This window comes from Homo sapiens, chromosome 7, assembly GCF_000001405.40.
Source record: "Homo sapiens chromosome 7, GRCh38.p14 Primary Assembly".
Classification (NCBI taxonomy): Eukaryota; Metazoa; Chordata; class Mammalia; order Primates; family Hominidae; genus Homo; species Homo sapiens.
In genome coordinates this window covers 8,082,406-8,095,687 of record NC_000007.14, presented here as the reverse complement: position 1 = coordinate 8,095,687, position 13,282 = coordinate 8,082,406, and the positions used below count along the sequence as shown (strand labels likewise).

The window sequence follows — 13,282 nt, the reverse complement described above, 5'->3', positions numbered from 1 at the left end:
GTCGATCTGGCTGGGAGCTGCAGACTGGAGCTGTTCCTATTTGGCCATCTTGAATCTGCCCTCAACCATCTTTAAGTCTTTTTACTTTCTTGAGTATACACCTAGGAATTGAATTGCTTGGTCATATGGTTACTCTACATTTAACCTTTTGCAGAATTGCCAGACAGTTTTCCAAAGCAAGTACACCATTTTACACTTCCACCAGAAATGCACGAGGGCTCCAATTTCTCCACGTCCTCACCAACACTTGTAATTATCTGTCTTTTTGATTATGGCCTTCCTAGTGGGTGTGAAGTGATATCTCATTGTGGTTTTAATTTGCATCTACCTAATGGAAGTACCTATTTGCTATGGACTAAATTGTTTACCCCACCCCACCCCCACCAAATTCATATGTTGAAGCCATAACCCACCCCCAACCCCCCCACCCCCCAGCCCCCCACCCCCCACTGCCGTGTGATTGTATTTGCAAATAGGGCCTTTGGGAGGTAATTAAGGTACAAGGAAGTCATAAAGATGGAGTCCTGATACAAAAGAATTAGTGTCTGTGTGGAAGACACCAGAGAGCTTGCCGACCCTTTCCATTTTATTATTCTAATTAAGGAATGGAATAATTATCTCCATTTTATAAATAAAGACTCCCACGCTCACAGAGCCATCCCTCACCCTTGTCTGATGCCAACGTCTGGACCATTTCTTCTTATGCCACACTGCCTGTGGGTTCCAGAATGTGGGAGGGACATATGTGCGGCCTGCCAGCTGACCAAAATCACAGATGGCACTGTGCTGAGACCTAGTTCTTAGAGACCTAGTGAATAAGGGGCAGAAACTTGCCAAGAAGGAGAAATAAGCAAATGTCTGAATCCCCAAGTTGCTTTCCGTGCCCCTGGCTTATGCCAGCTACAGATGCAAAGATTAATAAAAGGGGCCCAAGGTCTTGTACACTGGTAATTCTCAAAGTATCCTGTGCAGCCTGTTCAATGCTGGTATTCCCAATCTTCCTAATACAAATTCTAAGGTAACCACCTCTATGACCAAAGGATCAATGTCCATCTCACATGTACCTACATTAGGCAATCTCTGTAAAACCAGACCAAACAACCTGCAATAAAAAGTGTGCTTAGAAATATGAATCACAGTCAAGAATGATCTCTTGGCCATTTTCAGGCATCTACAGTTTGCTTGCGGCAAGGAGTCCCTTTTAATTTTCTAGATGAGGCAGTTCAAGAAGCATAAATGAGAGGACAGATTTCTGGACTCCCTGGTGCCCACTTCACAAACCCATCTCAACTGAGTGGAAGGCTGTCAGTATGGGCCACACTCCAGAAAATGCTCTGTCCTTTGAACTAAAACTGCAGCCTTTCCCAAAGACACTTTCAACCCCATTCCAGGCTTACATAATTTAATCCTGCTTACCTTACAGTGTGAGGATGTTGGGACCGTTTTCTTTCTGGGAAGGGAGATAAAGCTTGAAACTATGCCATGTTAGGATTCTCCCACCGAGCCAAAGTTCACTCTACCAAGCCTTCTCTTAAGCCACCTGGATTTTAAGAGATGTCAGTCATTTTCATTAAAACAAAATTGTCTTGCTGCCATTTCCTTTTTTTCCCTCCCTACTTTTTCTGTCCTTTGATATTTAGAGATTAACATGCATGTTCTCTCAAATTACAAGGTTAACGGGTGCTGCTAGAGAATACTTAGAAAACCAGAAAAGCAAATGTTAAAAAATTATCTACCCAGGATAAGCACTTTTTTTTTTTTTTTTTTGAGACACGGTCTCACTCTGTTACCCAAGCTGGAGTGTAGCCTTAAATTCAGCTCAAGCGGTCCTCCTGCCTCCGCCTCCCAAGTAGCTAGAACTCCTGGAGTGAGCTACTGCACTTGGCCCGTAACCACTACTAACACTACTATTTTTGTTTACATTCATCCTTTTTTTCCCCACACATATATGTATTTTTATAAAACAAACGGATCACACTGGTTTGTGACCTGCTGTTTTGTCACTTGGCATAAATGCTGCCCCACTTGTTCAGAAAGCATGTGCCAGCGTATCCTTCTAATAGCAGATGTAAGAGTATATCTCCAGCCTCCTTTAGCACTATTATCCTTCCTTTTTTGTTCTTTGCCAATTTAAAAGCAATAAATTGTTGGTTTTTGTTTGTTTTCTTGAGAGGGAGTCTCACTCTTTTGCTCAGGCTGGAGTGCAATGGCATAATCTCGGCTCACTGCAACCTCCACCTCCCGGGTTCAAGCAGTTCTTCTGCCTTGGCCTCCCGAGTAGCTGGGACTACAGGCGTGAGCCACCACATCCAGCTAATTTTGGTATTCTTAGTAGAGAAGGGGTTTCACCATGTTGGCCAGACTGATCTCGAACTCCTGACCTCAAGTGGTTTGCCCACCTTGGCCTCCCAAAGTGTTGGGATTACAGGCATGAGCCACCGCGCCCTGCCAAATTGTTGTTTTAATTTGCGTTGCTTTGATTACTAGTGAGGTTAAACATTTATTTTCATGTTAATCACTTCCTTTGAATTTCACCTTTCTTTCATATTAGTCATATATAAAGCAGTCAGCTAAGTTGTATCCCCTTTCTGCTGCAAATTTGATGATAAATTGATGGGTAGAAGTTGGAACCAGCAGAGGGAACAGGGCCGTTCACAGTTCTGCAGAATGGTCATGTTGTTTCCTTGTCTTTTACATTGTAATGTTACCAAACATTACAAAAAGAATACATGCTCATTTTAAGAAAAAAAAATCAAATATTTCAAAAGGTGTATGAATATTATGAAAGCTCACCTCAACACTCTACTTCCCTCACTCACCAGTTTCTATTCCTTGATGTCACCATTTTTAGCCTCCTCCTGCTACCTCCTTACTGTCTTCACAGGACTTGCTGCACTGGCCACAGATTTGGAGGAGCAATCAGGAGAAAGGGTTAGGGATTTGAAAAGGAATAGCTTCTTCATACAAAGCTCCCGGGGCTTGCTGCAGAGTGGTCACTGGGAAGGGAAGCAGGAGAGAGAAACCACACCAGGTGTTTGTCTGGAATCAAATGGGCAGGTGAACAGAGAGTCAGCTAAGATTACCCTGTCTGCCTCAGTTCCAGTCCGTATGAAAAATGGCAGGCTGTTTATTGCAGTACATGAGCAGTGTCCTTTGTTAAGTCCTGTCCCTTGAGTGTAACCTGTTTGGTTTACAAAGTGGAAAAGAAAACCTAAGAAAAGGTTTGCTTTTCCAGCATGAACGCTTCTCCTCACTTGGCAGGTCCTTGTGGAGCCCTGTACCCACCTTTATCCATCTTGCTTCCAGACAGTGGTTTGAAATAACATCCATTGCCTGCAGAGTCATGCCCAGTTCTGACTAAAGGAATGTCATCAATGTCATGCTTAAAGCAGATGCCAAGACTTGAGTAGAATTTGTGGTGTGCGAAAGGGGATCTACTCTTTGTTATCAGGAAATCTTTTGGAGGAAAAATGATCTAATTGTTCAAATTCTTAGTGTTAAGAAAATGGCTGTTATGCAGGAGAGAGCCCATCACCAAACTGATCTAAAGCCTTTGGGAAAAAAAATTATTTTTACTCTCCTCTTTGAGAGATGCATATGGAATGAGATAGGTCATTTTAGAACCAGTGGGTTACCAGCCTCCTGTTAACTAAAAGACATATGAGGTGGAGATATTCCTCCTTTTCTTGTGAAATTCTGCCTTTTATTCTTTTCAGCTCTAAAAACTGATCACCTATCCTGCTTCTTCTTGCATCATTTTCCATAGGAAATCCTTTTCTAACATGCAAACTGTTCAAAAAACAAAATTTTGTGTTGAAAAAGCTTTGTCTTAGACCTACTCCAAAAGGGCTTTGCCAAGCCATATCCATTCCAAAAGAGCAAGCTTCATTTTCTGGACCCAGAGGACAGACTTATATGGCAAGGCTCTAGGTGATGGTGGAAATAATGGGATGTGTATGGGGGAAAGAGAGGGCTGTTGTATTAGTTCTCTAACCCTATGTAACAAGTTACCCCAAAACTTGTCACCTTAAAATAACAAAAATTTATTATTTGACACAGTTTCTGAGGGTCAGGTATCCAGGGGCGTTGGAGCAGGTATCCAGTTGATCTGGGTGGTTTCTGGCTCAAGGTGTCTCATGGCTTGGCTGGAGCTGAAGGATCTGCTTCCTTGTGGTTTTTGGCAGGAGGTCGGGGCCTCCATAATCTCACCATAGGGTCCTGCCATAAACTTTCTCAGTATCCTCCCAATATAGCTTCTCCCAAACTAAGTGATCCAACAGAACAAATACCAAGACAAAACCAGTCTTTTTATAACCTGTTCTTAGAAGTGACTTCCCATTACTTCTGCCATATTCTGTTGATAAGAAGCAAATCAACCCACACTTGAGAGGAAAATTAAGCTCTACCTTTTGAAGGGAGGAGTATAAAATAATTTATGGAAAAAATTTTAAAACGTCTACATAGGCCAGGTGCGGTGGCTTATACCTGTAATCCCAGCACTTTGGGAGGCTGAGGTGGGCAGATCACGAGGTCAGGAGTTCGAGACCAGCCTGGCCAACATGGTGAAACCTCGTCTCTACTAAAAATACAAAAAATTAGCCCGGCATGGTGGCAGGTGCCTGTAATCCCAGCTACACGGGAGGCTGAGGCAGGAGAATCATTTGAACCCGGGAGATGGAGGTTGCAGCGAGCCGAGACTGTGCCACTGCACTCCAGCCTGGGCGACAGAGTGAGACTCTGACTAAAACAAAACAAAACAAAACAAAACCCAACTACATATATGATACAAGTTACCTATACCTAGTCTCCAGTCTGCTCTTTGGTGTACAGTAGAGGTCAGCAAAGAACCAGAGAGTAAATATTTTAGGCATTGTGGGCCAGATTCTCTGTTGCAACTATTTAACCGTGCCATTGTGCTGCAAGATAGCCATAGGCACTCCATAAGCAAATGAGTGTGGCTTTGTTCAGGAACACTTTATTTACACAGTCAGCAGGCTGGATTTGGCCCAGGAACAGTTGTTTGGCCCTGGTCTTATAGCTACAGAGGTTAGTGGAAGTCTAACATACGCAGTGACTTTGGTTCCTTGCTATTACAGTCTTCACAGAAATTCATCTAAGTTGTCATGGCTCTCTGATCTGCCACCATTATATGTCGCTGTACCTCAAAATTCAGTGGTGAGATAACAGGAAGACAGAAAAGCAAATCTGAGAGATTTAAGAAACAGTCCTTATCTTTGGAAATAAGAATGTAAAGGAGAGCTGGCTTGGTCCAACAGGGGGTAAGACAGTGTCTTTATTCCACTGAATCACTAAGGTTGAGATAAGGCAAGAAGTCTGAGAGGAGATGTTCTCTCAACAATTGGAACTGTTGGTCTAGACTACAGCAGTGGGATTTTGAATCAACATGTGAATTAGGGGATCCATCTTCATAAGGCTCCTACAGCTCCAAAGAACCATGAGTTCACCAAAAGAGTGAGTGTACAGGGGGAAATCGAGACTTGTGCATATCAGAGAGCAGGGTAGATGTTAGAAGCTTCCCAGAGAGAGGTAGAGAATATATAGGGGACAATGAAACTTCAGAGCTAGATGCGACCTTACACTGTGGGATGGAGGATGAGGGATGGGGGTAACCCCTCAGTTTGCAATATTCATAAATAAACTTCAAGTGATTATTTTTGGTTAGCATAGGGTTACAACACGCAAGTTCTTAGGACTAATATTCCCCTCCTTGTTCCTGAGGTCTGATTTTGCAAATACTGTATTAACTTCTCAGGGCTGTTTATATTACTTATTATATGATCGAGTCAAGAAGAGATGGGGCTAGGAATTCCACTTTCCTTCACATGAATTCACTTGCAATGGAAATTTAAAGTTGTATAAAGTAGAAAATTTCCTGCCTAAATAACATTAACACAGCTGATACATCCCACCATTTAAAAAGTTACGTTTTATTTTTCTCAGCCAAAACCACAGCTACTGGTCACTTCTAAGTTCAATTTAAAGATCAAATCTTATCCCTTTGAGATGCGCTTTGGAAGTGAACAACAGTCTGCTGATAAATTATTTCTCAGAGCGTTTTGTTCTTGCTTTCACGCTACCATATGGCCTACCAGACCATATCCATGTCTGGATAACTGGGCATGATGTCAACCCTCCTTTGTTTTGTAAAGCTTTTCTCCACCTTATTCTGAATCTAAACAAATAAAAAAGTAAAAAATTAAATTTTATTGCTGCAGCTTTGCTTGCAAGAAATATGCAACTTCCTCTGAAATGATTTCATTGAATTTAAACTCATTTCTATAAATTCTGAGGTATAAAGTGATGTGAGAACAATGTTTTCTCTATTTAATGTGATCATACCTGGGAACAGTACCAAGACTTGGAACTTAAGACCTCTAGCTTCTCACCTTGTGATGGAGAGTGTGTAAGTTAAATGCCAAGAGGAAGCCAGGTTGTAGAAATCTGATCCAGTTAGACACCCCACACCTCCAGACATGCAGGCCAGGAACTCAATGAGTACAGAAAACTACCATTAACCTGAGCTGAATTTCTCTCTGTCGGGTAACGAGCCAACAACCCCAGTCTTTCCAAAAACATGTGTGAACTATTTCAGTTTTACTAATAACTTTATTTAAATAAGACACAGGAACTTCTATACTGAAAAAATACAAAACAAAAGCCACACATTTCCTTGTGTAAAGCCATATTATATGGTAACTCAAATACTGTTCAGCGCAATGGCTAGAATTAAACAGTACAATTATATACAAAATTTAAACAATTTCTGACAAATTTCTACAGCTGGATGTAGGATACATTTGAGCTCAACAACTTCTGGGAAATTTACATGGCAAAGCGTAAGCTTTAACACATTTGGTTCAAAACTTTAATATATGCTAAGAACAAATGTACAACACAATTAATATTTAGTATCTCATGAGAAAATAAAAGCACATCACTATAAATATCGTACATGAGATTTCATCACCAAAAAAGCATATTCAGTCCATTTTTCTGAAATTGATATTGATACTATTGCATTTTATTTGGACAAAAGCAGAGTGTAAGATCAACATATTATGTAATGCTAAACCAGACATCAGAAGTCAAATGGAGCTCATATTTATCTTACGGAACTAGTAATTTTCCCCCTTTAACCATAATCTACAAAATATAGTATTTTCATCAAGGCCTGAGATTATTAGGGTTAAAGGTATCTGCTGCTGAAAAGATTGTTTTAAAAGGTTCCCCTGTGAAAATGACGAAAGTAAACTGAGTCCTTTTTTCCATGACAGTCTCCTACAATATAACACTGACTAATTTAAAGGAGCCAGAATGCACCTTCAGGAGAAAATATTACGACAAACTTTGGTGGAAAGAAGAGAATTGAGATCATGACAAAATAATGCACAGAATACACACACACACACACACACACACACACACAAACATATACATATATATATCATTTCTTAAAAAAAAAAATCAATGGTGTTGCTTTCTTCTCTATCACTCATCCTTCTTCAACCTTCTTAGAAAATAAAAGAAAAACCCAGGAATGAATGAAAGGAACTGAAACGTTCCTTTAACTGTAGGCACCTGGTTCCCCTAATTCTTAAGAAAATTGTGCCATACACTTTAGGCGCAGATGAAACAACTCTAGGTTTTATTGAACTGAAAGTAGTGGAATACAAAAACTTAGCTTTTGGATACTCTTTGTACTGAAGAAAACAATGAAAGTTAGGCTCTCCCATTGACCAATCAGGAATGCCTGGGGCTCTCTTCACACTTTGTGGAGAACTTGTGTCAAAAGTCTGCAAGTTCAAGGCTATTTTCTTGAGTTTATGCTCTACCTCACAGGTTGCAAATTTCAAAACTACTCATGATTATGCATTATGAGAGGCTTAAATGAGATAGCTTCAAACTATTGCTCTTGTAAGTCACCAAAAAAACCTGCTTATGTTGCATCAATTCTGAGACCCAAGTATTCTATGTAAATGAAGATCATGCACCTAAACTGCTTGAGGAAGACAATAACAAAAAGTATGTCACTTTTTCACCTGCAAAATAAAGAATTTCCAAGGGAGAAACTAAATATAAATATGTCTTTAGATAAAATGGTAACAGTTATGACCCTGATGGCTAACATAAACAAAAAAATCTCAACCATTCCGTCAAACACTTCACTTATTTTGAAATTAACTCTAGACATTCTTGTCTTTAAATTTCATCACACACAATGTGGAATGTTTATGTACAGTCCAGTACTGAACACTTTATTTGCAACATTGTCACAGTCCTTTACTGAGCAACACCTGAACTTTTAAAAAAGCCACATGTACACATGTTGAAACAGTGAATGCAACAGTTGTTTTACTTGTAACCACATGACAAAGTGATGTCAAACACCACAGATTTTGCTGGTTCTCCTCATGTTCACCCATGTCCAGGATTATCATTCTCCTAGGATTGAATGCACTTCTTATTCTAAGAATGTGGAATGTAATGAGGAAAGGGAAATGCATAAAATAAGGAAAGGCAAAAGAGTGATGTTCCCTCTTTAGCTTTTTAGCTGTGAAATATTTAATATCCCAATATGATATACATTCCAAGTTACCTGAGTTTAGACTTCAACTGAAGTACCTGAAGCTAGGCCATAGGGTGGGCACTGTGCAACTGTTGTGGCCATTTTTTTTTTTTTTTTTTTGCATTGTATGTATTACAGAAGTTAGAAACAAACACCTGGATCAATTGTAAACATAATCCTGAATTACAGTATTTTCCATAGGACAAAACACAGCAAGACATTTTCTATTTAGACAGGCAACTTTTTGATATAGAGCTTATTTATACTGAAGAATCTGGAACAAAACACAGGACACAGTACTAATCTGTCAAATATACTATGAAATGCATAGTCTCCACTTAAAATGCTGAATGACACACACGTTTTGCAAGCATTACTGCTTTCCACAAAAACTGCTGAATAGGAGTTCCGTCCCTGCCAAGATCAGTGTTTAAGAGATACTTTATGATGCTGATAAGTATTATTGGTGGTGGTGGTGTTCAGAAAGTTTGTCACTCATGCAGATGTCTGAAATCTTGTTCCGAATCCATGGAACATAGGGTGGAGGCCAGCTCCCCCTTTTTTAGATGATCACATAGTTCTGAGCAGAGATGTGGTCCTCACCCTGCAGTTCCTGCAGGAGCTGCTGCTGCTGGGATGGCTGCTGGACAGAGGCCTCCATGGAGCCCGCTGTGCTGGTGTCATCAGAAAGAGACGTAAAGGAAACCCGGGATGAGAGCTGCTCAACGGTCAGAGTTGCCAAAGCTGAGCTCTGGCCAGAGTTAGGGGAGTTCTTGAGCATAAGGTCAGAAGCAGGTAAGAGGGGGCCTAGAAGTTTTACAGGACAGAAAGCTGATCCGGTTGGGATGAAATTAACCTTGTTTTTGTCAGGACATGAAAAGAGAGGGGCCGAGATAGGCTGACGAGACCTAAAACCATAAAACAAAATTAGATTTATAATCATGAACACAGAAAAAGTTAAGCATTTTCTGAATTAACTGGAGTTCTCTAAAACAGCTAAAATGTAAATGGCAGGAGATGGGTTAAGTGTATACAGAGGGGTAAACATCTTCCATAGCACAAGTCAGCTGGCAGACTATTCATGCACACAGCACTGAAGTGGTATTTGAGACAAAAGGATTTTCAAAAGAACCAGGAAGGCAAATATTTAGAGATCATTAGTTTGCTTTTAATTATTTAGGAAGGTGGAAAAGTCTTCTACATTATAATTGAAGATTATGCAAAGTTAGAATGACCTTTTCTGTTAAGAAAAAGTATACCAGAGGCAGGGGGCATTCGTCCATCACGTATTTAAACACTTTCTCCTTTTTTCTTTCTAGATAGACTTCCGCTAGCACAGATGGGGGGTGGAGTGGGGAGGGGAGTTTCAGTGGTCTCTCAAAAAGCCAGTCAATTCAACAGAGGTTGGGTCCACAAGCCCTTCCTCTCCTCCCGTTCCCAGGAGCTAAGCCATCAGCTCCTGCAAGATGGGTCCTTCTATGTTGCAAGAGCACTGCACCCTCCACTAGGCACCTGCACTGGAACAAAGGCATGAGGGCATCCAAGAACCACAGTCTTCTTCTGAGCTACTCTGCCCAGTGTTTACAGCAAGAACCTCTTTTTCTAATTTCATTTCTAACTTACACATATTAAAATTTCATGAAGATAACAAACCCCTTGTGAACAGAAAGTCTGAATAAGTAAGCTAGATGAGGCTACAGGGAAGGAGACTAATCTTCTGGCTTGTGGAGTACACTGTCTTTAAGCTAGTCACACACGGATATTAACTTTGCTCCTAAAGTCTCTTTGTTACCATCTAAACTAAGAGTTCCTGAAATGACAATTCTTAATGATTAAAAATAGATTTTTCAGGTAGTAAGAATAAGTTTCCACGTGTCTTTGTACTGGCTTATACATTTCCAACATACAGACTCCAGTTCTCCTTCAGTAAGATCTCTCTTGCCTATTCAATTCTCTTTACATAATTTGCTCTTGAAACACATTATCAGCTGGATAGAGTAGTTGATTCATATGTAATCAACTGGTCTCAGTAAAAAGCTTTACAGCTTTGCAGATCCCAGCTGACAAAAAAGACATTACTTACGCCATTTCCTCAAAGACCTTCACTCGCTCACATCCCTCTGGGGGCTCCCGTTTGAACATGTAGCTGTTGTTTGGTTTGGGAGATGAAGCATACTTGGGTAACGGTGAGCTACTCCCACTGTCTGTAAATTTAAAGCAGTTATATTAACTAGTGATTGAAAGCTCTTTTAAATTTGATTTCCAAACAAACAGCCTTTTGCACAATTTATCCACTACTGCCCCTATGCTTTGACCAGTCTCCTTTATTGCAAAGCTATTTCTTATACCCTGTGTAGCACATTTCTTCTAAATAAAAACTGCAATGCAACAGTCATCTGCCACACCATAGAACATAAAAAGGACATTTTGGTCCAGAAAACTGCATTTTGAATACAACAGAGCTGTAATCCTGAAAACAAATATGTTATTTATTACGTATTTCAAGAATGCAAATGATGGGGCAATGTGCTTAAGTCACACAGAAGAATAAAACAGATTATAATGATACAGGGTTCTCTACATGCCTTCTCACTGCCCAACCAATTTAACGAAAATGAATAATGTTCATTACAAAAGTTCTTAGCAGAAATGTTATTTTTGCTAAATATCATGAATAACACGTACGCAGGGGAAAAAAACAAGTTTATAAAATGTCTCTTTCTACCTACCCAACATAAAAAACAATTTGCTCAGAATTTTACCTTTAAAATGTTTATAATAAAAGGGCTTTTTCAGCAGAATTTGTATTTTTGCTACTAGAAGACATGCAAAATCTCCAAACATCTCTACCTAACACGTTTTCCTCATATTTTTGGCCAAAAAGAAAATGGTCTATTCATGAAAAGCCATAAAACCCATATGCAATTTCTCCCTTTCCTACCTGGCAAGAGATTTTGGAAATTCAAATCCACTAAAATGTGTCATTATTTTTATAAGAGGCCAAGTTGTAAAGTCAGTGACATGTTTGTATACAATAGTCCTATTTAAACAAATTCTGACTTAATGCAAACCTATCCCCACTGCTAAAATACTAAGCACATGATCTATTGAAATGTATTATTTTCATCTATTGGGAAGATAGCAACAGTATCATAATTATGTTCATCACAATTTTGATAAGTTGCTTTAGTTTAGAATATAGAACACAGTCCAATATTTAAAATCTGACTAATAAGAATGTTTTATCATCATTAATGAAGTTATAACACATGCTTAGGAAGAAGACCCTTGATGCACACTAATGCTTGTTAGAGTCTTGTGAATGCAGATTTATGCTTATATTTGAACATGGCTATAACTTTGGCTGGGAAACCACTGTCTGCAAAATAATAACGTTATACTATTGGGAAAGCTAGAAAACCACACAGTTTCTCTATCATTATTATGTATGATCCTACAGAGTAGGCACCAAAGAGCCTCTTGGAAAAAATTAAGTCTTAGAATGAAATTTGGTTTCTTCATATACCATTCAGATTTGAGAATTTTCTTAAGTTTAATATTTATCCTACATCTTGCATGAACAAATGGGAGGAAGGAGGAGGAATAGGATTGTCTCAGGTTGATACAAAGCATAATTAGCCTGATTGGAGGTCTGAATTTGCTGCCCTATTTAAGCTAGGCTAGACAAGACTGGTCCATGAATAAAAACAAACAAACAAACAAAAAACCAAACATCTGATGAGAATAAGGCCTCAAATTTGGTGTAATATAAAAAATATGGCTTGACCTTACCTTACTATGCAAACAGCAACAAACCAGGCAAAGGAAATATATGAGATCAAAAATACAAGTAAGTAGGGAGGATGGACATCCCATTCTTCATGATGTGCATATTTCACACTACATACGTGTATCAAAACATCTCATGTACCCTATAAATATATACACCTATGTATCCACAGAAATTTTTAAAATAAAAATAAAAAAATACAAGTAGATATGGCATGAGATGCCTCCATGGAGATTACTGCTGGACATAACTTAGCCTACACGGCACAAGCAGCATCAGCCTGATACCATTAGCATCAGCTTGATACCATTAGCAGTCATGTCAGTAGTTAAGGATCCACTCTATTATCACGTAAGAAAAGTCATCTTGGCCACAGTCTTCTGTGTTCTTTTTCTTACTACATCATCAGGCCTATCACATTCTTTCAGTATTTTACTGATGGTTTCAAAGGACTTTCTCATAACTGAAGGCTAGATGTGAGTTGGCTAATCTATCTGCAAAACTGATTATCTTCCTGTTAACAATCTAGAATAAGTAATTTTTCTTCTTAAAATATTTCTAATTTCAGAGGCTGTAAGTGCATCTTTTAACAGAGTTTTACCCTCTTAAACATTATTCTGCTTTTTTTGGGGGTATTAATGTTAAGTAAACAAATATACTGCTATCCTAGACAGGCAGGGTTTATATCTTTTCAATAAAAATTTTTTTTAATTGAATATGTATTTAATGTTAGATGGTCTGGAAAGGCAAAGCTTGTAAGAAAAAAATTTTGAGACTATAAACAAATATTTGCTAAATCTGGAGTTTTTTCTTCAGGTTAAGTATGCAATCAGAGAGACTGTAAATAGGGGTCAGGGAATGGAGACATCTAGTCTGTGGCTTTAGCTCTTGTTGTATAGTTCTAT

At 39.1% G+C, this 13,282-nt stretch overlaps 1 protein-coding gene and 1 long non-coding RNA gene across 2 annotated transcripts in view; both read right to left on the bottom strand.

Moving 5' to 3' along the window:
* On the bottom strand, positions 1 to 4,484 carry LOC105375142 (uncharacterized). Its single transcript, XR_927015.2, has 3 exons — positions 2,820 to 4,484; positions 1,417 to 1,540; positions 1 to 101 (listed from the first exon to the last, which is right to left on the bottom strand). It is a non-coding gene; the product is annotated as an uncharacterized LOC105375142 (long non-coding RNA).
* GLCCI1 (glucocorticoid induced 1) overlaps positions 6,608 to 13,282 on the bottom strand; it is a 120,285-nt gene continuing 113,610 nt past the window's right edge. The window contains exons 7-8 of the mRNA NM_138426.4: positions 10,671 to 10,791; positions 6,608 to 9,495 (exon numbers count right to left, since the gene is read on the bottom strand). Coding sequence (NP_612435.1) covers positions 9,150 to 9,495; positions 10,671 to 10,791 — 467 coding nt within the window. The 3' untranslated portion in view covers positions 6,608 to 9,149. The remainder of the gene's footprint in view (positions 9,496 to 10,670; positions 10,792 to 13,282) is intronic.